Source organism: Homo sapiens, chromosome 10 (assembly GCF_000001405.40).
Source record: "Homo sapiens chromosome 10, GRCh38.p14 Primary Assembly".
Classification (NCBI taxonomy): domain Eukaryota; kingdom Metazoa; phylum Chordata; class Mammalia; order Primates; family Hominidae; genus Homo; species Homo sapiens.
In genome coordinates this window covers 24984504-25010446 of record NC_000010.11, presented here as the reverse complement: position 1 = coordinate 25010446, position 25943 = coordinate 24984504, and the positions used below count along the sequence as shown (strand labels likewise).

The following is a 25943-nucleotide window of genomic DNA, read 5'->3' as shown; positions in this document are numbered from 1 at the left end:
AAAAAAATGAGTTCCAATTCCAAACCATATCTTTGTGAATACATAAAACTGAATGCTTTTAACACTACTCAAGTCACCTCTTGAATGTTTTGCCGCTTAGAAATTTCTTCCATCAGATGCCCGGAATCATCTCTCTCAAATTCGAAGTTCCACAAATCTTTAGGGCAGGGGCAAAATGCCACCAGTCTCTTTGCTAAAACATAGCAAGAGTCACCTTTATTCCAGTTCTCAACAAGTTCCTCATCTCCGTCTGAAACCACCTCAACCTGGACTTTATTGTCTTTATTGCTATCAACATTCTGGTCAAACCCATTCAACAAGTCTCTAGGAAGCTCCAAACTTTCCCACATCTTTCTGTCCCCTTCTGAGCCCTCCAAACTGTTCCAACCTCTGCCTGTTACCCAGTTCCAAAGTCGCTTTCACATTTTTGGGTATCTTTATAGCAGCATCCCACTCTACTGGTACCAATTTACTCTATTAGTCTGTTCTCATACTACTGATAAGTACATACCCAAGAGTAGGTAATTTATAAAGGAAAGAGGTTTGACTCGCAGTTCCACATGGCTGGGGAGGCCTCACAATCATGGGAGAAGGTGAAGGAGGAACAAAGTCACATCTTACATAGTGGGAAACGAGAGTGTGTGCAGGGGAACGCCTCTTTATAAAACCATCAGATCTTATGTGACTTATTCACTATCCCAAGAACAGCATGGGAAAGACCTACCCCCATGATTCACTTACCTCCCACTGGGTCCCTCCCACAATATATAGGAATTATGGGAGCTACAATTCAAGATGAGATTTGGATGGGGACACAGCAAAACCATATCACATGGCAAGTACTTTGCTAGGCTACTAGACACCTCTCTCTAGGCTGATAGCAATACTTTTGAGTGTTCAGTCACCAAAGTAAACCTATTAACTCATATTTCTCTACCTTATCAACAAGGATTTAACAAGATTCTCTGCTAACATCAACATGCAAATTATTATGTCTAAAATATTTCCCTAATCTATTAATCACATAATCTTATTTTTTAATTGATTTTCATTTGTGGTGACTGAAACTCCAAATGGCCTTATGCAATCATTGCTTCTCTATGAATGTAATAAAAATTCTCTCTACAACTCTTACAGAAATTGTCCTCAGGCTCACCAGTGTAGAATTTCTGCATGCATACTTTTTTTTTTATTATACTCTAAGGTTTAGGGTACATATGCACAATGTGCAGGTTTGTTACATATGTATACATGTGCCATGTTGGTGTGTTGCACCCATTAACTCATCATTTACGTTAGGTATATCTCCTAATGCTATCCCTCCCCTCTCCTCCCACCCCACAACAGTCCCCGGTGTGTGATGTTCCCCTTCCTGTGTCCATGTGTTCTCACTGTTCAATTCCCACCTATGAGTGAGAACATGCGGTGTTTGGTTTTTTGTCCTTGTGATAGTTTGCTGAGAATGATGGTTTCTAGCTTCATCCATGTCCCTACAAAGGACATGAACTCATCATTTTTTATGGCTGCATAGTATTCCATGGTATATATGTGCCACATTTTCTTAATCCAGTCTATCGTTGTTGGACATTTGGGTTGGTTCCAAGTCTTTGCTATTGTGAATAGTGCCACAATAAACATACGTGTGCATGTGTCTTTATAGCAGCATGATTTATGGTCCTTTGGGTATATACCCAGTAATGGGATGGCTGGGTCAAATGGTATTTCTAGTTCTAGATCCCTGAGGAATCGCCACACTTCCACAACGGTTGAACTAGTTGACAGTCCCACCAACAGTGTATTTAATGCAGTGAACAGCATTAGTTTTTGTTTAATGTGGTTCTGTTTTTCATTGTGATTAATTGTAACACATAATCAGTGTTTCATTTTTGGAGCTTCCCATCCTTCTTGGACTACTTTCTGCTTTATTCAGTGTCAATACTGTTAACACTTACATGTTCTGAAGTCTTTATAACATCTCTTTGTTTAAAGTATGGTTATGTATCTGACTTTGCTGAGAAATCTGTTCCTTGACTATTAGGAACTCTTAGGTGACATGGTCATTTTCTCCTGATCCAGAGTTTCTTGTCTTACCCACTTTGCTAACTAATTACAGCCAAGAATTTAATCAAGGAAAACAGTAACCCTTTTTAATTAACTTATATTCAAAGAAAGTCTAGACTATTCCAAAGTCTCTTTTTGTTTGTCATGATGACATTTTATGCTAAAATTCCCATTGCTGCAATATATGGTCTCTTAGTATTATGAGTAGTGTTAGAAGCTATTTTAGTGTTTTAAGTGTTTAGTGTTAGAATTTAAGTGTTAGAATGTATTTTTCATCTGGCTAGGCAGTCTCTACAGACCCACAAGACTACTTCTCTTCATCTCTTACATTTTGTCCAACTGCCCTTCTCATGCTTATATATCTCATATATTTATATTTATTCATATTATATATTATATATACATATATATAATATATCACAGGCACACAAATGAAGATGTGTTATAATTAGTAGAATTACAATTGAAGGCCTGGAAAACTATGTGGTTGACAGGATAATTCAAAAGGCACCTTTCCCTTCAGGCATATGGGTGAGGGGAGAGACAACCAGATACAGGATTTTTTTCAGCAAGGAACATTGTGGCTTCCATATGCATTTACTGGCTTAATGTTTATTTTGAGTTACTGCCTATAATTCAGAAATCTATACGTGGCTGGGCGCAGTCGCTCAAGCCTGTAATCCCAGCACTTTGGGAGGCCGAGGCAGGCGGGTCATGAGGTCAGGAGATCGAGAACATCCTGGCTAACATGGTGAAACCCCGTCTCTACTAAAAATACAAAAAATTACCCGGGTGTGGTGGCGGGCGCCTGTAGTCCCAGCTACTCTGGAGGCTGAGGCAGGAGAATGGTGTGAACCCGGGAGGCGGAGCTTGCAGTGAGCCGAGATGGCGCCTCTGCACTCCAGCCTGGGTGAAAGTGCGAGACTCCATCTCAATAAATAAACAAACAAACAAATAAATAAATAAATAAGAAACCTATACATAATATAACGTGGTAAAAGGCATTAGCACACCTCTCTGGCATTTCATATATACATAAAAATGTTGAGAGAAGAAAATATGACAACAATACTCCTTAAAATCAGTTGCCAGGGAAATGTATAAGTGAGCTTTTGTGAACGTTAGACTCATTTTTTAGATTATTCGGTTACAGAACAAGGTTTAATATCTTAAGCAATACTAACAATATATTGTATATGAGAATTCATTTTTACAGATCAGGGAAATATGTCAGTCTGTTATAATCACTGTCTAGACATGATGACTCAAATTTTTACAGAATAAGACTGTGTCTGCCAGGACACAGGTAAAATCAAGTAAAGGGTTAAACAGTTTCAATTTTTAAACGTTTTATCAGGATGGATATCCAATATTCATAACCACAAGAATACTATTAATAGCAATATGTTCAATGTATTAGAATTTAAAACGTGCCAGTTATTGATCTTTTTCACAAGAATCCTATGGGATAAGTAGTATTATCCCATTGTTACAGAAGAAAAATCTCAGGCCCAGAAGTTGAGGCAATGAGGAAAAACAAGGGCTGAGATCGAGACACAAATCTAATACCAAAGCTCGTAAGTTTAATTGGTTTGCACAGTTCTTTTAGCCTGAGACAGTAAAACAAACTGAGTCCTTTTTGCTTCAGTAACATCTATAATTGTTTAGTTTTTGATAATTTATTATATATCAGATACTATTTCGTGTTTATACACAACCTTGTTCTAATGCAGTGAGGTTTTTTTTGATGAGGCTATCAAAGCAAATGGGAAATTATGATAGAAAAGTAAGGTAGAGCTACAAATGAGGACCTACATGAAATGTATGCTTCACAATCATGCACGTTTGCTTAAAGTCTGAAACAAATTTGACTCTATTAGTTAAGCAGCCAGCCCATCAAGGAAGAAAGATCCTTCCCATGCTTCTTTAAAAATCAATTACACTCTAAGTCATATTGTCCAAAGACAAAAGCAAAGCAGTAGTCACAGAGGAGCACAAATGTTCTCGGTGTGCTGCCACAAATACACTTCCTCCAGGATTCACGGAGAGAGGAGACCATGTGTGTAATACAATAAAGATTTCAGCCGCACTTCTACATTAAATCTGCTGAGTTTCATAAGTCTACTGTTGCCCTCATTATAGACCAGTGTTCCAGTACGATAACATAACTAAACAAAAGCAGTTTTGGAGACAGCAATGTGTTGTGCTCTGGGTGTGCAGCTATCTGACTGCATAGTTTAATTCAAGGATAGATTTTCCTGCTATCTAGATCAGCACAGTCTAATAGAAATGTAATGAGAGTCATGTATGTAATTTAAATTTTTCTAATCACTTTTAAAAAGTAGAAATAACGAAAAATTTACTTTATGTAGTTTATTTAATGCAATTTATCTAAAATACTATGATTTCCGCATGTGGCACCAGCCACATTTCAAGTGCTCAATATCCACATGTGGCTATATTACACAGCACAGATGTAGATGAATACATTAACTACATACTCTTTTGATATTCCACATATTATTTCACTCAACAGCTTGTGAGAGGTACTGAGCAGCACTAAGATCATCATTATACTCAATGACATATGCCTGTGTTGTCAAGTAAGTGCAGATCAGAGCTATGACAGACAACCAGGCTGGGGGAAGAATTGGCATCCATTTTTGAAAATTTAGTTACTTGATATAGACATGAGCCTGAATTGAACACTCTCATTTCAAGTCTGTAGGTGGACTTAAGGGATATCTGTGTACGTGTAAAAATTCTCCTCAAGAAATAATTTGGATAGCTTTCTAACACAGCCTAGGCTCCAGAGTTCAGAGTTCCACACGATAGTGTAATGCTGCAGTAATACTGGGAAAAATTGAAAAAGAAAAGTTGTTAATCCTTGATGCCTATTTTGCCCATTAGAGGAAAAAAAAATCTCAATTAAGCACTTTCAAACTATCCCAGCTTTTTGAGTAATATCATTTCCTTGTGTGCCCTTTGAAATAAATGGTTTTTAAAATGTAAATTTACTGTCTTAATGATGGGACTTACTATATGGTGATTAGTAAGTCTAATCTTAACTGTATGGTAAAATATAGTTTTGGTATGTTTTCTGAAGATGACAATTTTAGTTTGAGAATAACTTATCTTTAGCCCATATCTCATAATTCTAATAATAAATAGAAAATAGAGCCAATTATCCATGACACTGCCTGACTTCAAACTATACTACAGGGCTGCAGTAACCAAAACAGCATGGTACTGGTACAAGAACAGACACAGAGATCAATAGAACAGAATAGAGAACCCAGAAATAAGACTGCCCACTTACAAGTATCTGATCCTTGACAAACCCGACAAACACAAGCAATGGGAAGGACTTCATATTCAATAAATGGTGCTGGGAGAACTGGCTAGCCATATGCAGAAGAATGAAACTGGACCCATTCCTCTCACCATATACAAAAATTAACTCAAGATGGATTAAAGACTTAAACGTAAAACCCAAAACTATAAAAATCCTGGAAGACAACCTAGGCAATACCATTCAGGACATAGGCACGGGCAAAGATTTAATGATGAAGATGCCAAAAGCAGTGGCAACAAAAGCAAAAATTGACATATGGGATCTAATTAAAGTAAAGAGCTTCTGCACAGGAAAAGAAACCATCAACAGAGTAAACAACCTACAGAATGGGAGAAAATTTTTGCAAACTATGCATCTGACAAAGGTCTAATATCCAGCATCTATAAGAAACTTAAACAAATTTACAAGAACAAAACAAATAATGCTATTAAAAAGTTGGCAAAGGAAATGAACAGACACTTCTCAAAAGAAGACATACATGTGACCAACAAGCATATGAAGAAAAGCTTAACATCACTGATCATTAGAGAAATGCAAATCAAAACTACAATGAGATACCATCTCACACCAATCAGAATGGCCATTATTCAAAAGATACTGGTGAGGTTGTGGAGAAAAAGGAACACTTACTCACTGCTGATGGGAGTGTAAATTAGTTCAACCATTGTGGAAGACAGTGTGGCAATTCCTCAAAGACCTAAAGATGGGAATACCATTCAACCCAGCAATCCCATAACTGGATATATACCCAAAGGAATAGAAATTGTTCTATTATAAAGACACATGCATGCCTAGGTTCATTGCAGCACTATTCACAGTAGCAAAGACATGGAATCAACCTAAATGCCCATCAGTGATAGACTGGATAAAGAAAAGGTGATACATATACACCATGGGATACTATTCAGCCATAAAACAAGAATGAGATCGTATTCTTTGCAGGGACATGGATGTGTACATGTAAAAATTATCCAATAAATAATTTGGATAACTTTCTAACACAGCCTAGTCTCCAGAGTTCAGAGTCCCACACAATAGTGCTGCAGTAATACTGGCTGGAGGCCATTATCCTTAGCAAACTAACACAGGAACATGAAACCAAAATACTGCTAAATTCTCACTTAAAGTGAGAGCTAAATGGTGATAACACATGAACACATGGAGGGGAACAACACACCCTGGGGCCTATCGGAGGCTGGGGGTGGAAGGAGGGAGAGGATCAGGAAAAACAAGTAATGAGTACTAGGTTTAATACCTGGGTGATGAAATAATCTGTACAACAAACCCCCGTAATGCATGTTTACCTATATAACAAATCTGCACATGTATCCCTGAACTTAAAAGAAAATAGAGCCAATTATCTAATAAAGTCACCACTAGATCTTTGTAATAAAACCACACCATTCAGAAAATGGAGTAAAATGCAGCTATTTAACAGAAAGAATAAGATTTATGTGTATTAAGATATCACACTATATTAAGTTTTAAAAATCTAGTTGCAATTCTTACAGAAATAGAAACACAGGCTTGGCGCAGTGGCTCACATCTGTTATCCCAGCACTTTGGAAGGCCAAGGCAGGTGGATCACTTGAGGCCAGGATTTCCAGACCAGCCTGGCCAACGTGGTAAAACCCTGTCTCTACTAAAAATACAAAAATTAGCCAGGCATGGCGGTGCATGCCTGTAGTCCCAGCTACTCAGGAGGCAGAGGCATGAGAATCATTTGAACCCAGGAGACAGAGGTTACAGTGAGCTAAGATCACACCACTGCACTCCAGCCTGGGCAACACCACTGCACTCCAGCCTGGGCAACAGAGCGGGCAAAAAATAAATGAATAAATAAATAAATTAATTAATTAATTAATTAATTAAAGAAACACTGAAATTGAATTTATTCTGGAAAATTTATTGGAGAGATGGAGGAGACATAGATTTTAATTTACTTAATGTTATTTTTGTAATTTGGAAAATATCATTTATATAAAATAGAGTATCTTATTTTCTATAATAGATGGACAGGCTTTCAGTTCATATACCTACACAAAAATATATTGAATCATGGGTTTACAAATTTAAAAGAGGTGGAAGTAAAGACACCTTTTTTTTTTACCCCAAATGAAATTATCTTATTAATCACGAGACCATATCTGCCAGCCCCAACTTCTGTGGGCATTTTAAGGCACAGATTTGGTTTGAACATTATTTCTTGAAACTATCTAATGAGCTCATTCAGTTTGGACTATAATTGATTCCCAGCCTTTAAGTTCAGGATTGAGGCAAGGCTCCTAAAAGGAAAAAAACAATAATGTTTCTTCAAACAAATTTATCTACATAAGGAAGAAGATAATACAAGTTGTTACAAAAGCGGTATAGCTGAACTGCTTTCAACCAAAAATGGGATTTATCTTCTTGACTTAAACAACTAGAACACCAGAAAAAAAATATATGAAACAACAGTTATCAGACTCTGAACAATAAACAACATAGAGTGGTCATCTATAAAAGAAGAGAAACAAATGAGGCAAGCCCTACGACTGCCCCAGCATACTCTCTGGAGAGAAATTCCAGGCCAAGATCCAGAAGAAAAAATTAAAACAAAGCCTAGGAGTCTCCCTGAGTTAAGGAGACAGAATTCAGAGTTTGCAAAGGCCAAAGCTGCTAGAATTCACAGCACAGAGTACCAGAGAGGAGAGTTGCATAGAGAGAGGACTGTGGAAATATGAACAAGGAGTTCCCTAAAGTCTTTGGTTGATAGCACATGTATGTAATGAAACAACCAAGGCCAAGTAAATAACCAACAGAAAGCAGTAGTGCCAGGTAAAGTTCGTGTTCCCACCAGCCCAGGTGGAGACACCTCCTAATACACAGGGCATTGAGTAGTGCACTCAGAAGTATATTGCCTCAGTAGTGGGGCCAAATTAGAAATAGACTAAAAGCACTTGTGGAATTACCCTAACACTTAAAGCAAGCCTTAAAATGATCACACTGTTTCCAACTATCATAACTGAATCCCAGAAAAAAGCTAAGGAAGAAATTTAAAGAACACCAGAAAGAGAAAAAGAAGAGAAAAATTCAGCAACAAACAATGTAAAATTCACAATGTTTGGCATCCAATCAAAAATTACCAGGCATGCAAAGAAGCAGGAAAATATAATGCATAACCAAGAGAAAACATAGTAAAGACAGACACAGAAATGACACAGATTAGAGAATCAGTAGACAAGACCTTAAAACAGTTATTTTAAATATTCATCATGTATTCAAAAGGTAGAAGAAAGCATGAACCAAGATGGGGAAAGAAATGGAAGGAGAGATCCAAATCTAACTTCTAACCATAAAGAATACCATATACAAAATGTAGCTACATGTAATAGATTGGATTAACGCAGCTAAGACACTGAAAAAGAAAATTTAGATGAATTTGAAGACACAGTAATAGAACAATGCAAAATGAAATACAGAGAAAAAATAGACTGAAAAAGAAAGCAGAGAATCAATGAGGCTTGAACAATATCAAGCAGTCAAAGAATCATGGAAGAGGAGAAAACGGATGAGGAAACAGAAGAAATATTTGAATAAAGGTAAAAAAATTGTCAAATTTGATGAAATCTCAAAATCCAAAAATCCAAGAATCACAGTTAACCCCAAGTAGAAAAAAGAATACCAAGAGACATTACCATCAAATTTATTAAAACTATTAATAAAGAGAAAAAAAGTTTAAAACAGCCAGAGGAAAAAAAAGAAAAATTATATAGAAGAAGAAGAAAAAAGGACAGTAAATTTATCTTTAGAAACGATGGAAGCCAGAAGTTTAAAAATGTCCTTTATGGAGAAGGAATGGTACCAGTTAGAAATTTGGACTTATACAGCAGAATGAAGAACACTGGAAATGGCAAATATATGGGTAAATATTCAAGATTTTTTCAAATGTATTTAAAATACAATTATATAAAGGGAACATAATCACAATTATTTATGGATTTTATACCACACAGAAAAGTAAAATATATTACAACACTAAGACAAGAGTGGGGTTGGATGCAAGTATTCTTTTGAAAGGTTCTCATACCACATGTTAAATGCTATAATATTGCTTGAAAGTAGGCTCTGATAAGTTAAACCTGTATACTGTAAAGCTACAGTTTCCATAAAACCAAACCAAACAAAACAAAATGAAAAGCAAGATAGAATGAGCAAGGGGATATGTAAAAAAACAGCAAGCTGGAAACTTTAAGCAGAAACAAATTTTTATAATCACATTAAAAGTGAAAGGTATAAACATACCAAACAAAAGTGATTGGTGGCTGGATAAAATTTCTATGCAGTCTATAGGAAAACTCCAACAAGTAGAAAGTCCAAGAATGGAAAAACATATACTATTACAAATCAAAGGGATGCTTGATTAGCTACCATAATGTCAGACAGAGTAGATTCTAGAGCACAGAATTTTAAAAGGAATAGAGTGTTATTTTATAGTGATGAAGTGATCTGTTTTTCAAGAAGATATAACAATCCTAAATGCTATGCACCTACAAACAGAGTTTCAAAATACATAAAGCAAAAACTATTTTAATTGAAAGAAGAAATAGCCAAATCCACAATTACAGTCAGAGACCTTAACATCTCTCTTTCAATAATTAGTAGAATAGACAAAATCAGGAAGGATACAGAACATTTGAAGATACTTTCAGTTTGACCTAGTTGTCATTTATAGAACACTCCAGCCAACAGCGGCACAACATACTTTCTTTTCAAGTGTATACAGAACATTTACTAAAATAGAACATACTTTGTGCCATAAAACAAATGTCAGAAAATTCAAAGGAATTGAAATCATACAAAGTATATTCTCTAACCACAATAGAAATATATCTGAAATCAATTAGATATCTGGAAAATCCCAAATCTATGAAAACTAAGCATGTCTAAACAAACTTCTAAATCAAAGAAGACATCAAAAGTATTAAAGTTCAAAATAAAAAACCTAAACTTGTATCTTAAGAAAGTAAAAAAAGAAAAACAAATTAAAACCAAAGTAAGAAGAAATAATAAAGATAAGCACAGATATCATTGAAATGGAAAACATGAACATTGGAGAAAATCAATGAAATTCTGGTTCTATAAGAAGATTCATAAAATTAATAGACCCCTAGCCAGACTGATCAGCAGAGAAAGACAGAGAACACAAATTACTAACATCAAGAATGAGAGGGGTGACATCACTATCGATGCTACAGATGTTCAAAGGATAATAAGGAAATACTATGAACACTTTTGCCCTAGCACCTCTTTCTTAGGGCAGAGCTTCCATCTAGTTTATCTAAGTCTGATGGACAGGGCTCAGGTAAGTATGTTTTATGATTATGCTTTTCCATACGAATATAGACTTAAATAAATTAAAAATGTAAGATTTAAACTTTAAGTAAACTTTAGGTAATTTTTACTAGAAGTATAAATGCTACAACTTTTAAAATTCAATTTTAGGTACATATCCATTTTTAAGGCAACTGTAAAAGATGACATGCAAAAAGCTAAAACTGCAATGAAAACTATGGGACCAGCAAAAGTTGAAGTACCTTCTCCAAAGGATTTCCTAAAGAAACATTCAAAGGAAAAAACTCTACCACCCAGTAGGTTTTATCATGCTTTATTTTTAATATTAAAAGCATTAGCAGGTGATTTAACTATTATTTTATTGTTGATGAATATTAAACATGCACAGGTGATAGCAGCTTTACCTCATATTAAACAGAATTTGACTAGGAGAAAGTGGAAGTAGAGAATTGGGTAGAAAAATAGAATGGAGTGTGATAAATTGCCCCCAGAATAGACTTTAGATTGGGTTTGGACTATCCAATGAAGCCCACATGCATCACCATCTTAGTCCCTAGCTGTGGGGCTTCAATTATAAACAACAATTATAGGAAAAGTCAAGACCCCAGGGACAGTATCTGACTAATGGGCAAGATTGCCCAGCATCTAAACCCTGTCTGGCCTTTTCTCCAAGAGATGAAAATTACAACCATTACTACCAGTTGTTGAAGCAACTACTGGGCTCATTTTGAGTACGGGCTTTTACTCTCCCAGACCTTTAAGACTAACTGGACTGCAATGAGTTAGATGTAATGGAGGAGACTTCATGAATAAGTGGTAGAACCAGCTTAGGGCCCCATGCTTATTTTAATGCTGTGCTCTTGCTGTACTAAAATTTTTAATTTTTGATCAAGTAGCCTTGTGTTTTTATTTTTTACTGGGCCTCAAAAATTATATACTTGATCCCAGTTATGGAGTCTTTTGAATGATTTCAGGAAAGAAAGCTATCAGGGAAAGGGAGAGTAGATGAAAAGTGATGTGTGACAGGTATGTATGGAAGCAATTTCTTCATAGCCCAAGTATGTCTTCCCAGATGTCTTAGGGCAATAAAGAAAAGAGAGCACCTGGGCAACAAAGCAAGACCCCGTCCGTACAAAAAAATTAAAATAAAAAAAATTAGCTAGGTGTGATGGCATGCACCTGTAGTCTTCACTACTCTGGAGGCTGATGTGGAAGGATCGCTTGAGCCCAAGAGTTCGAAACTGCAGTGAGCTATGATCAAGCCACAGCCTTCTAGCCTGGACAACAAAGTGAGACCCCATCTCAAAAAAAGAAAGAGAGAGAGAGAGAGAGAGAGAGGAAGGAAGGAAGGGAGGGAGAGAGGGAAGGGAGGGGAGGGGAGGGGAGAGGAGAAGAGAAGAGAAGAAAAGAAAAGAAAAGAAAAAAGAAACGAGTCTGTCTCTTCAAAATGTTGGCTTTTTATGTCTGCTGGCATTGAGGAAATAATGCAACATCTCAAGCCCGGCTAGCGATGTACATTTTAACAAAAGTGAAACTACTTCTCTTTATGGCAGTATTTAATGTCCCCAAATCCTCTCTCAACCCATATCTCATGAAAAAAGGTGAGGGCACTATCAGGCAAGATGGCAAGATGGAAGAAGCAAGTGTGGAAATACAACATTCATGCTTAATTCGTGACTTCAGAAGTCTCTTTTGTATCTTCCTCTAGTCTTGGCCTGTTGTGACCCAGCATTCTATGACCAACAATACCATTTGAGAATATAGGAAAATGTTAAAATGGAATTTGATGCTTTCAATGCCTTAGGACCACTGGTATCCCTTGGGTCCTCATATAGCCTCTCTAGGGTTAAACATATGATATAACACAAACATATATATATATATATATAAATCCTTTGTGTCAAATAAGAAAAAAGGAAGAAGCCTATCATTTTGTAAACATTGTAAGGCAAAAGCAAACCCAAAATTTCATTGGCCTTTAGAATAATTCATCAATTCAGGGTATTAGGGCTGGGCACAGTGGCTCATGACTGCAATCCCAGCACTTTGGGAGGCCAAGACAGGAGGACTGCTTTAGCCCAGGAGTACGAGACCAGCCTGAGCAACAAAGTGAGACCCTATCTCTATAAAAAATTTTTTTTAATTAGCTAGGTGTGCTGATGCACATCTGTGGTCCCAGCTATATGGGAGGCTCAGGTGGGAGGATCACCTGAGCCCAGGAAGTTGAGGCTGCAGTGAGCTATGATTGCATCACTGCACTCCAGCCTGGGTGGCAGAGGGAGACCCTGTCTCAAAAAAAGAGGAAAAAAAAAAAAAAAAGGAATGCAGGGTTTTGCAAAAGCTTTAAAAACTCGGTCCAATGAGAGTTCTGGAGGACAGTTCTGGAGAACTAGGAGTCCAACATCAAGATGTCAGAGGATTAGTTGATTTTTGCTTTTCTTTTTTAGGAGTATTTTTGTTTGTTTTTATTTTTGGAGATAGGGTCTATGTTGCACAGGCTGGAGTGTGTGGTGGCTATTCACAGGCATGATGAAAGCACACTGCAGCCTCACACTCCTGGCTTCAAGCAATCCTCCTGCCTCAGCCTCCCAAGTAGCTGGGACTGCAGGCATGCAACACCACACGCAGCAGGGTTGGTTTCTTCTAAAGCATCTCTCATTGGCTTGTAGATGGTTATCTTTTCTCTGTATCTTTACGTGTTCTTCCTTATATGTATGTCTGTGTTCAAATTTCCTCTTCTAAGGACACCAGTCATATTGGATCAGCGCCTTCTCTAATGACCTCATCTTGACTTAATTACCTCTTTAAAGACCTTTCTACAAATACAGTTATATTCTGAGATACTGGGGGTTAGGGCTTCAACATATGAATTCTAGGAGGACATAACTCAGCCCCTAACAAGAGGCTAATCCAGTTCATAGACTTTTAACTGTAAGTATTGGCTTTGCTGATAATAAAAGTTATATAAACTAATAAAAAAGGTCAAATGATGCAGAAATGAATAAAGTCAGTCCTTAGTAATTGTGATGGGGTTAAAATTGGAAAAGGCATTTTCAAGACAGTTGTTGCTTTCAGTTCTTAAAAATAAATTATTTCACATTTTTGCATTGTGGCAAACCATTTGGCTATATTAAAATAGATCAATGGGAATGATCAAACTGAAGAGGCTGTGTAAAAACGGCCAATAAGCAAGAAATACTTCTTCCTTGTATTTATATACTGTTCATATATATATATATACACACACACACACACACACATATATGATCTTTTTTGAGACAGAGTCTCACTCCGTCACCCAGGCTGGAGTACAATGGCATGATCTCGGTTCACTGCAACCTCCGCCTCCCAGGCTGAAGCAATCCTCCCACCTCAGCCTCCTGAGTAGCTGGGACTAAGGGTGCACACTATCATGCTTGGCTAACTTTGCATTTTTTGCAGAGATGGGGTTTCACTGTGTTGCCGAGACTGGTCTCAGACTCCTGAGCTCAAGCGATCTGCCCACGTCACCGTGGGCCACCGTGCCCGGCCTCCTCAACATATTAATTGATTATGTTGCCCTTAATTTATTTCCATTTTAATTACTGACTTTTTTTCTTTTTAAAAAATTATTTTATTGAGGCCTGATTGACAGGTAAAAAGCTGTGCATATTTAATGTCTACAAGTCAATGAGTTTGGGGGTAAGCATAAACTTCTATCTTAAATATTTAAATATATTATGACTGCAACTTCAATATACAAGTGGTGAAATATCTGGATATTATAAATAGCACTGAGTAGCAGTGTTTGTAGTTTAATATTAACAAAGAAATGTTATATTTAACAGAAAAAAACTTTGATCGGAACGTGCCCAAAAAGCCTGCTGTGCCATTGAAGACTGATCATCCTGTCATGGGAATACAGAGTGGAAAAAATTTTATAAATACAAATGCAGCTGATATCATCATGGGAGTGGCTAAAAAGCCTAAACCAATTTATGTTGATAAAAGAACTGGAGACAAGCATGATCTTGAGCCTTCAGGACTAGTTCCAAAGTACATCAATAAAAAGGTAGCCTTGTGGTATATTAATAAGAGGGCTGAAATTCAAATAATTTAAATATGGTGTTCATGATGATCATCTATGTTATCATTATTAGTGCTCTCATTGGACACATTGTCTACTTTGCTGATTCTCATTCTTCTGCAATCTGTGTTTGGTCCAAATGTAATGGGATGAAGTTACAAAGAACCCATAGTAAACAATTCCATATAGTTCAGTAGATAAAAGTTATTGTTTTCCTTAATTTTGATTATTAACATATTTAACAATTTTAATAAACATTCTCTGAAAGATATTTTTGGTTAGTTGGAAATGTCACTAAAAGCAGTCATTACTGTAAATCTAGAAGGAATAAGCTGTCAGATGGTCTTAAGATTTAGTCATTAATTGCAGTAACTTGGCAGCTGAATAAGAAAAATGAAGCAGAATGCAGCTTTAGAGCCATCCATCTCATCAGTGTAGTATAAATAATTCACATTCCTATTTTAACATGAATATATTTATTTGGTTTTGGTTTTGGGTAAAGACTTGAAAGTACTGTACAATAATCTAGTCCTTTTGGGTCCTTCATTTGTATCTGAAAAGGTGTGTAATTTCATTGGTGAACATTATAGTTTAAATATAGATTTTTTTTGAGACATATTCTCATGCTGTTTCCCAGGCTGGAGTACAATGGTGCAATCTCAGCTCACTGCAACTTCCAACTTCCGGCTCGAGTGATTCTCCTCACTCAGCCTCCCAAGTAGCTGGAATTACAGGCATGCATCACCAGGCCTGGTTATTTTTTTGTATATTTAGTAGACAGGGGGTTTCACCATGTTGGCCAGGCTGGTCTTGACTCCTGACCTCAAGTGATCCACCCACCTCAGCCTCCCAAAGTGCTGGGATTGCAGACATAAGCCACTGCACCCAGCCAAATACAGATCTTTAAAATAAAAAAGCTTACAAAAAATCTTATTTAATGCTACTTTATTTTGCGCACTTATAAAGCTTAAAAGTGCTTGAAACACACAAAATATGAATGCAGGCTGGGCACAGTGGCTCACAACTGTAATCCCAGCACTTTAGAAGGCCAGGAGGATTGCTTGAGGTCAGGAGTTCAAGTCCATCTTGGCCAACATGGTGACACCCCATCTCTACTAAAAATACAAAAATTAGCCAGGCGTGGTGGTGTGTGCCTGTAATCCCAGCTACTCGGGTGGCTAAGGCACGAGAATCGCTTGATCCCAGGAGGCGGGGGTTGCAGTGAGCCAAGGTCGCGTCACTGCACTCCAGCCTGGGTGACAGAGCGAGACTCGGTGTCAAAAAAAAAAAAAAAGAGTGCAGAATTCTAAAGAATAATAAGTTGCATCAAGAAGAAATGAAGGAAGGGAGGGAGAAAGGAAAGGAAGGAAGGAAAAAGGAAGAGAGAGATAAAGAAAAAGGAAGAGAGATAAAGAAAAAAAGAAAAGAAATTGCAATAGTGATGTACAGGGACCTAAAATTGAAGAGTCCAGTGATCTACCATGATAAATCCAATGCCAGTGGAAAATCAAAACAGGACCCTCAAGGCTGTTTTCAGAGGACACTGTCTTCTCAGGAATCTAGGAGTTCCCAGGATAAGCCAATAAAGTTACTTCAGGCTTCTCCAGGTACTTCCTCCTTCTGTGGCCCCTGGAAACTGTTTTATAGTCGTTGTCCCACAGGATAGGGAAAAGTGGAAAACTCACTCTCATGGCTCTTAAAGCCACTTCCAGTCCATTATTTCTCCATGATCATATGAAAAGTCTTTACTGGTCATGCCACCACCTGTCACACACTCTGCCCCTCCCTTCTGGCTGCTCTCTAAGCTGTCCACTTGAATGCATTTTCTACCTTCAACAGGAAATTTGGAGTATCCATCATGGAAACAGAAAAATACCAGAGTTTACCAAACCATGAAAGCACTGTGCACCTAATGCCCTTTTGGTGTTGCTGACTAAGCAATCAGTGCTCATGAAAGACTTACTCAATTTACTTTTCCCTTATCAGAGTTAAGTTTTAAAGATCTATCATTGGTAGGTGAGATAGTAAATAAATTCTTTTAAAGTCAATGTCATATTTTTATAAAATGAGTGAACTCCCATTTCAGCTCCAAGTGAATTATATGCCATTCATACCATGAGAAACAATTTCTGAAAACAAGCAAGGATAGATGATCACATGAGGTATTTAGCAATACCAGTAAAGACATTCTTTCAAAGTCTAACTCTGCCACTTAGTAACTGTGATTTCCAACAATCCATTGGATTTATCACAGGGTTGTAGTGAGGATTAAATTATATAAAGTATATTGAGCACTTGACACAAAATGTGACACCTAATAAAAGAACAAAGAGTGAATAGTATAATATATGCAATTTTATTAACAGTATGCATTAGCCTCCGGTGATTCAGCCCATAGGAATATTTCAGATCATTGAAGCTTTTGCTCATTTGTGAGTTTTTTTTCTGAACTGTATCACACCATTCCCTTTCTTTTTAAAAACACTTAATTTAATTTTTTTTAGAGATGGAGTCTCACTATGTTGCCCAGGCTGGTCTTGAACTTTTGGGCTCAAGCAGTTCTCCTGCCTAGCTGTCCCAAAGTGCTGGGGTTACAGGCTTGAGCCACTGCGCCCAGTCATTCTCTTTCTTAAACAGAGTATGCCAAATATAATTTAATCTTTCTGTGATCCTGCAGAATCATCATGATGAAGCTCCATTATTGTACTAAGCTGTAATGAGGTGTTTCCTTCAGTGTTTCCTGAAGTGGATTGGCCTGTCTCACTCACTGCACCAGCTGACCAGAATACTGGCCTCCCAGAGTCTATTTGTATTGTCCTCTGCAGCTTCCAGAACACATTTATATCTAGGATTTCTATCCCTTGTTCAGTCAGGATGGGTTAAGTTACACTGTGATGACAAACAATCCCCAAATTTCAGTAACTTAAAGCAACAAAGTGTTATTGTTTGCTTTTGCCACGTGCCCTTTGAGGGTTGTTACAGGCTCTGCTTCTTGTCCTTCTTCCAGGACCCAGAAAAATCTAAACATTGCTTGTCACTAGACCAGACAGGAAAAGACACAGCAAGTCATCCACTAATTCTTAAGACTCCTATCGAGAAGTGGCAGAGGTCACCTCCACTGACACTGAGCAATTCAGGGCATATGGCTACATCTTACTTTATGAGGACAACACAGGAAAGTGTTGTCCTACCAAGTGTCTAGAAGGAGAACAGAATATTTGTCAGAATTTTAATGACTACCATACCTCCCAACTGCTGCTTCTTCGGAGAGTTCCTCCCCGACCTCCTTATTTATCTAAAATAGCCCCTATTATTTTCTTTTCCCCCACTATCCTTCTTTATTTTACTTCAGAACACATACATATTATTTCATTCTCTATTTTTGGTGAGTCTCTGTCACCATAGAATGCAAATTCCCTGAAGACGGAAACTTTGCCTTTTTTATTCACTAGTATTCCTAGCACCAAGTACATTCTCAAACATCTTTTGAAGAAGGAATACATAGTAATTCTGTTTCTATAGATGGTGAAATCAAACGCATTTACTAAGCTGAAAGAATCACAGCTGATGGCTTCACTGTCAGTCGTTGTGACATGGGAAAATTCCCTTATTCCCCTCGCAGAGTGTACCATAGGGCTGTGGCTCACTTCTTCAGTGCCCCACTGCTCACACTTCTAGGGGGAGCATGCCGAAGGGCAGGTTGTGAGGCTCTGACTCCAAAGCAGGGTCTATGGGTCGATGTTTACAGCTCCTGAAGCCGCAGTGGGCGTGTGTTACAGGGTGCTCTTTTGGTTTAGCTGTCCATAGGTGGCTTGTGTTTGCTCAATTAGACTCCCTGCCTTATGACAAGGACAGAGGGCTTCCAAAGGACTTTCTGTATCCCAGGAGTCTTGCCTTGGTATACTTGAAGAATTGGATCACACGTGGGCTTGGAGAATGAGTGCAAGGTTTTATTGAGTGGAAGTAGCTTCAGCAGATGGGAGAGCCAGAAGGGAGATGGTTTTTCCCTGGAGCCGGGCAGCTCTGTGGCCCGGGCTCTCCTCCCACCACCCCGGCCAAACTCTGCGTTGTTCCACTGATCGATGGCCTGCCGGCATGCTGGTGCCCATTGGTGTGCTCTTTTGTTGGCACGCCCCTGTCAACAGCCTCCACTTATACGTTCTTCCATTGATGTGTTCCTCTCGACGTCCAGCCATTTGTGTGCCTGCCTGCTAGGGTCTCGGGGGGTTTTATAGGCACAGGATGGAGGCATAAGTTTTCAAAGACTTTGTCTTTTCTTTAACGAGACCACGAAAAAGAGACTTCAAAATATTCAAGATATTTCAGGTAAAAACTGAAGCATGTAGAAGGTAGAAGGTAGAAAAGCCAACTCTTGAATATCTTATTCAAGATATTTCAGGTAAAAACTGAAGAACGTAGAAGGTAGAAAAGCCAACTCTTAGGAGTAAAGTATCAGCCAGGAGCAGGCGTGGGAAACATTCAGAAAAGGGAAAACAAGCAACTGCAATAACAACTCCATTTATTTATGTATTTAGAGATGGAGTCACACTCTGACACCCAGGCTGGAGTGCAGTGGCACCTTGGCTCACTGTAACCTCTGCCTCCCAGATTCAAGAGATTTTTGTGCCTCAGCCACCCGAATAGCTGGGACTACTGGCACATGCCACGATGCCTGGCTAATTTCTGTATTTTTAGTAGAGACGGGGTTTCACCATGTTGGCCAGGCTGGTCTCGAACTCCTGACCTCAAGTGATCCACCCCCCCACCCCTCAGCCTCCCAAAGTGCTGGGATTACAGGTGTGAGCCACTATGCCTGGGCAATAACAACTCCATTTTAAAAGGCAGGAATCTACTAGCTCTCAATGGAGGGAAAAAAGTCACTGAATTTTGTCAATTTACAGGGTTTTGAACAAAGGATTTAGTCTGTACCATTTCTTTTTCTTCCATCATCAGTTGATACGTACCCATATGTAAGATTGCATACAAAATATTGATTACTTTTTTCTGCAAAATCTTTTTAGGATTATGGTGTCACACCTGAATACATATGTAAGCGAAACGAGGAAATAAAGAAAGCCCAAGAAGACTATGATCGTTATATCCAGGAAAACCTTAAGAAAGCAGCTATGAAAAGGCTCTCCGATGAAGAAAGGGAGGCAGTTTTGCAGGTGTGTGTTCTGCCATTTACATTCATCTGTAACTCTTTGGATCATCTCTGAAAGAAAGGTGTACCATCACTTTGATGATTAAAGTCAGCACTTGGATTTTGAAATCAGAACAATCTCTTTGGGTTACAGTTAAAAACTACATACAGCAAAGCTGACTCTTTGGAGAGAGCAAAAAGTTGTGATATAGGGATTCATTTAATAATATTTTATTTCCAATTTGGTGAACTGTTTTTTTCCTGAACTAGTGTTGTAAGGAAGCCTACCTTCCTCTACAACGAACATGCATGAAATGAAGCAAATAAAGCATTTTTATTTTCATTTTTATGCCCCTGAGTTTGTGAAAAATAATATTCATAAATTAGATATTTTTCACTAGATGGAGCTCTAGAATAATTGAAACTGTCCTTAAAACAACTTTTTTTCCTTTCCTATAAGGCAAATGTCCAAAATTTTAAATAAACAGGTGCTAGGTTTCACATATGTTTTTCTTGTTTTTAATTACATAGACTTAAAGATATATTTATATTGGATTTTTTAATGCAGGGCTTTTATCTGAAGCATTTAAAATATTAGGGGGTGTAAGAGTTTCTGCTTCATCATTTGTATGAGCGTTTAATTAAACACCTCTTTGTACTTTTTATAGTCATACTGTCTCTTATAGAGGCAGAAATAATACTTAATTCTTTGTTTATTTTTCATTTTGAAAGCATCCCACGAAGCCATTTCTAGTTTATTATTAATCTCTGTTGAAAAATGGATTCATATGCTGTTACAACTTCTGAACATTTTATCAATGTCATCATAATCATCAATAAACATTTCTTAAATGCTAAACCCTGAGGATATTTTAAAAGGCATAAGATTTTTTAAAATATCTGCAGTGGAGTATTGTGCAATTTAATTAGTGAGAGGTACTATGGATCTATGTACATGTATAGATGTGAATATGTGTATGTGTGCAGCTCTTAAGTTTCATAAGGTTCCAAGGCACTAGTCACCCCTGGAGGATTGTAGATCGTTAGCTGGGCCTGAAAATGTAGAGTGACGGCATGTCCCAGACAGTAGGAGTGGCTCAAAGGCAAGGACGGTGTCTCTTTGCTGACAGCAGCATCCCCAGTGCCTAGCACAGTGCCCAGTGAAAACGCAGATGTTCAGAAATGGTCTGCTGCAAAGGAGGAAGGCAGACAGGCAGGAAGGAAGGCTGGCAGACATGGAAGTGAGAATTGGCATGTCATTTTCAGGGAGAGTTCTCGTCTGTGGCCCATTCTGTCTCTCTCATTTGGATTTTCCCATTTTCAGAAAGTACGTGCCTTTGTGAAAGCCAGGTTTTTACACCTAAATGATGCTGAAAAATAAGAATATGACAAAGAACTTAGAAGTGACAGGTCCTTCCCTTCTGTGTCTTTTTGGCTGTAGGAGATAAGCAGCCCTCAGCTTCCCATTACGGTCGCTACAGAGTTACCCTTTGATGTGATGATAGCAAATCATCCACTGGACGCCTTATGAGCCAGGGAGCAGAGCTGCCATAGTAACAAAGCCACCGGCTGGCCTCCTGACGAGCCCTGAGCCACACTTCCTTCCCTAGGCAAGAGTTGCATGTAGTTCGATGACAATCTGGTTGTATGTCCCTGAGTAAGCCACATTCTGCTCATTCTTCATAAAATAACAGTCTCATTATACCTGGACAGGATCATCTGGTCTAGTGATTCCAAACTTCTCATTTTTAAAATGAGGAATATATATATATATATATATATATATATATATATATATATATATATATATATATATATATATACATATGCTGTGTCACTCTACATTTTCAGGCCAGCTAAAGATCTATAATCCTCCAGTGGTGACTAGTGCATTGGAACCTTATGAAACTGAGGAGCTGCACACAGACACACATTCATATCTCTACATGTACATAGATCCGTAGTTCCTCTCACCAATTAAATTGCAAAATTCTCTATTTATACGTATTTTATATATAAATAAATTATATATAACATATGTACAATATAAAAAATAAATTTTACTTATATATAAATATATATACACATATATAAATATATACACATATATACATATATAAATATATATACACATATATAAATATATATATACACATATATAAATATATATACACACATATAAATATATATACATATATAAATATATATACACATATATATAAATATATATATACACATATATATATATATATACATTTTTTTTTGAGATGAAGTCTTGCTCTGTCACCCAGGCTGAAGTGCAGTGGCATGATCTTGGCTCATTGCAACCTCCACCTCTCAAGTTCAAATGATTCTCATGCCTCAGCCTCCCGAGTAGCTGAAACTACAGGCATGCACCACCACGCCCACCTAATTTTTTTGTATTTTTTAGTAAAGATGGGGTTTCGCTGTGTTGCCCAGGCTGGTCTTAAACTCCTGGCCTCAGGTGATCCACCCGCCTTGGCTTCCCAAAGTGCTAGGATTACAGGCGTGAGCCAATCTGCCCAGCCGTTAATACAAATACATTGTGGGCCCCTTTGTTCATTCATTTATTTATTGAATATCTAGTGTGTTCCAGCCAGAGGGATACTGTACAGAGCAAAATAAACACAGTCCTCAGTGTCAGTGAACTTAGAGTTTGATTTTCATTTCTCTTTGGTCACAAAACTATCAAGTACATCAATAGGGACTAAAACTCATTTACCAATTGCCAGGCTGGTGTTTCCCCCACTACAGAACACATACTTGCAGAGGAGGTAACAAAGGGAGGCTACTTCAGTCAGGGCTCCAGCAGGAAATCGAAGGCACACTCAGCTAGGACTTGGAAGAGAATTTATGTTTGTTTATTTTATGTATTTATTTGAGACAGTCTTGCTCTGTTGCCTAGGCTGGAGTGCAGTGGCACAATCACGGCTCACTGCTAGCTGGGATACCACCATGCCTGGCTGATTTTTTTTTATTTCATTTTTTTATTTTTAGAGAGGGAGTCTGACTATGTTGCCCAGGCTGGTCTCAAATTCCTGGCCTCAAGCAATCCTCCTCCCTCAGCCTCTCAAAGTGTTGGGATTGCAGGCATGAGCAGTGGCCACTGAAGAGAATTTATGAAGGAATTATTGACAGAAGTGAAGTAGGGTTAAGGGAACCAACAAGAAGCACTGAGGCACCCCAGGAGCAGGGACAGTAGGAATTTACCACCACCTACGCTTGAAAGGCAGCAGGCACAAGAAGCAGTGTTGTCAGAATCCAGTGAGAGCTGGAGCTGGGCTGAGGGTCATAGTCACAGATGAATGCAGCTAGAACCCATGTCTAGACTGTCCTAGGAGAGGAGGAGAAATGCCCCAACCTCACTCTCCACCCTCCAGGGCCTTCTGTGGCTGAACTCAGGCCAGAGGGCGAAAGAGCTGGGAGCACCCCACAAGGTGGAGAATGTTTGGGGGTGGGCGAGGGTGCAAAAGGAGCATGAAACTGAAAACTTCTTATTATAAGATCACTTCTCCCTGTCTGAATTTTTTCCAAAATGAACGATATTATTTCAGCTTTAAAATAGAAGAGAGGAAAATTAAGAATTAACAATAAGGGAAAATCACTATTGCTGCAACACATGAAGTATCTTTTTAGATGAAATAATGAAAAAACCTCTTAAAGTCAGCACGTAGCGTATTTCAATATAATATGAAATATTAGCTACATTTAGTTTCCATCCCTGGCTGTTGACTTTGATCCAAACGTTATTGTACACACTGGAAGATAAAAGCAAACTATCCTTTAAAAGAAAATACAGAGAAAAACTGTAGCTGCTGTGACTGCAAGTAATATGGAAACATCACCCAACTAGCTATGAAAAACCTTTGATATCCGCAAATGTACAAATACATAGACTTCCTCTCTGCAATAGCCACTCCTGTGGAGCACTGTGGGAACCTCTTTCACATTTCATAATGAAAGGCTGTGGAGAAATAGAATTCTTTTGAGGGCTTCTTTTTGGAATACATCGCATACACTGTCAAGAACTGTGTAGCCTCCTCTTTTTAAAATTTAACCTGGATACTTTTTCTTCTATCCTTTCCCTTTCCCAGATCCTTAGCTCACTCAAGAAGGCCTCATAATTTGTTGCCCTTTTCCCCAACCAACCTCTTCTATACAGTGTGCCCTGACCTGTCATCATCCCTTTTATCTAAGCATGGAAATAAATCAGTGAAATTGTATTGTCCCTGAAAGTTTCTACAAGATTAAATTTGTACAAGAGCTTACTATGACAGCATAATTATATAAGACACTTGTAATCCTCTTTTACACCTAAATGTATGGCCATAGTTTTCAAAGACCATGTTTTCAAGGCAGTATTTTAAGTTTTGGAGTTTTGGTTTTGTTTTTGTTTTCAGGCAGGGTCTCTGCTCTGTTGTTTCAGGCTGGAGTGCAGTGGCGCAATCATCGCTCACTGCAGCCTCAACCTCCTGAGCTCAGGTGATCCTCCCACCTCAGCCTCTCAGGTAGCTGGGACTACAGGCCCATGCTACCACACCTGGCTATTTTTTGTATTTTTTGTAGCGACAGGGTTTTGCCATGTTGCCCACACTGGTCTCGAACTCCTGGGCTCAAGCAATTCACCTGTCAAGGCAGTATCTTAAATTGCACTTTCTGTTTTGCTTTTGTGTAAATAAAATAATCTATGTGCCCATAATGAATAATTAAAAAGTGTTGACTTATAAAATTTCATTGAATTAATTTAATTACTAGTTTAAGACCATTTTGTCTGTGGAGCCCATAGGGCACTGTGATAAAAAAATGATAATTATGCAGAAACAGAAATAACTTTTATTGCTCCTAAGAGATCCCTAATTTTGAATTTGTTGATTTCTGAGAATAGAAACTGTTAGCTACATTATTGAATTAGCATGTGTGTTACATTTAATGACCTTTCAATCATTTATAGAATACATTAATGGGAACTGTAGATCCCTTGACTATATGGAGGGCAATTGGTTCTTTCTAATATATTGAAAGGACACTTAGAAGATCATCTTTTGTACAAGTGAATTTTGGCAATTTTACAATCCCATTTGTTAGATATAAGAAAATATAGCCATCCACATCAGAATTAGGTCTTTTATGTGATTTGTCTGTTGAAGAATGAGGATAAAAAATAAAATTTTACAAAACAATTTTCTGTTCAAAAATGTTTTTGACTCGAGGATATCATTCTAAGTTGTTTTTTACCCATGCATTTGCTGTGAGCTTTAGCTTCACACTACTCATAACTCTGCGTGTACATTTTTGATGGTAAAAACAAGTACAGTAACAACAAAAGCAGAGCAAACAAATACTCCCAGTGGGAACTGAGCACACAGTCAAGGATGGGATTTGGCCTCTGTACAGTATTTTTGGTTACCGTGGCCAAGTACTTGATAAATACATTTCATTTTAGAAGTTATTTTTGTCAGTTTCTTTTACTTATTGACATTTTTCATTACCAATTAGCTTTTCCCATTTCCTTTACTTTTGCAGTTTGCTTTGGTATTTACAAGTTTCTTGACCATTTGCAGGGGCTGAAAAAGAACTGGGAAGAGGTGCATAAAGAATTCCAGTCCCTCTCGGTCTTTATAGATTCTATACCAAAGAAGATCCGCAAGCAGAGGCTGGAAGAAGAAATGAAACAACTAGAACACGACATTGGCATAATTGAAAAGCACAAGATTATTTATATTGCCAATAAGTAAGAATGGATCTTTAAAGTATAACAATTTCAATGTAGGGGAAAAAAACATGGAAAATATAAAAAACTCCAAGTTTTTCAAAAAGGAAAATACTATGAAGAGAATAAAAATAGTCTTAATCAGAATGCTTAGGCAATATGCAAAGAATAATTGAGTTATTCACTTACACAAGAAGAAATTTTGTTTTTACTAGTGTCACGTTTTCCACATATAAACTATTAAATTTGAGAA

At 37.7% G+C, this 25943-nt stretch overlaps 2 protein-coding genes across 6 annotated transcripts in view; one reads left to right on the top strand and one right to left on the bottom strand.

Annotated features, from left to right (window-relative positions):
• THNSL1 (threonine synthase like 1) overlaps window positions 1–25943 on the bottom strand; it is a 74301-nt gene that overhangs the window by 16218 nt on the left and 32140 nt on the right. The window lies entirely within an intron of this gene.
• Window positions 1–25943, top strand: part of ENKUR (enkurin, TRPC channel interacting protein) — an 80343-nt gene that overhangs the window by 51881 nt on the left and 2519 nt on the right. For 2 of the 4 annotated variants that reach the window (NR_072992.2, NM_145010.4), the window contains exons 2-5: window positions 10901–11046; window positions 14578–14801; window positions 19838–19984; window positions 25542–25711. Coding sequence is in view for 2 of the 4 variants with exons in the window: in NM_145010.4 (NP_659447.1) it covers window positions 10901–11046; window positions 14578–14801; window positions 19838–19984; window positions 25542–25711 (687 nt within the window). In the remaining 2 variants the exon portion in view is untranslated. The remainder of the gene's footprint in view (window positions 1–10900; window positions 11047–14577; window positions 14802–19837; window positions 19985–25541; window positions 25712–25943) is intronic. The other 2 variants (NM_001270383.2, NR_072993.2) reach the window with 2 other exon arrangements.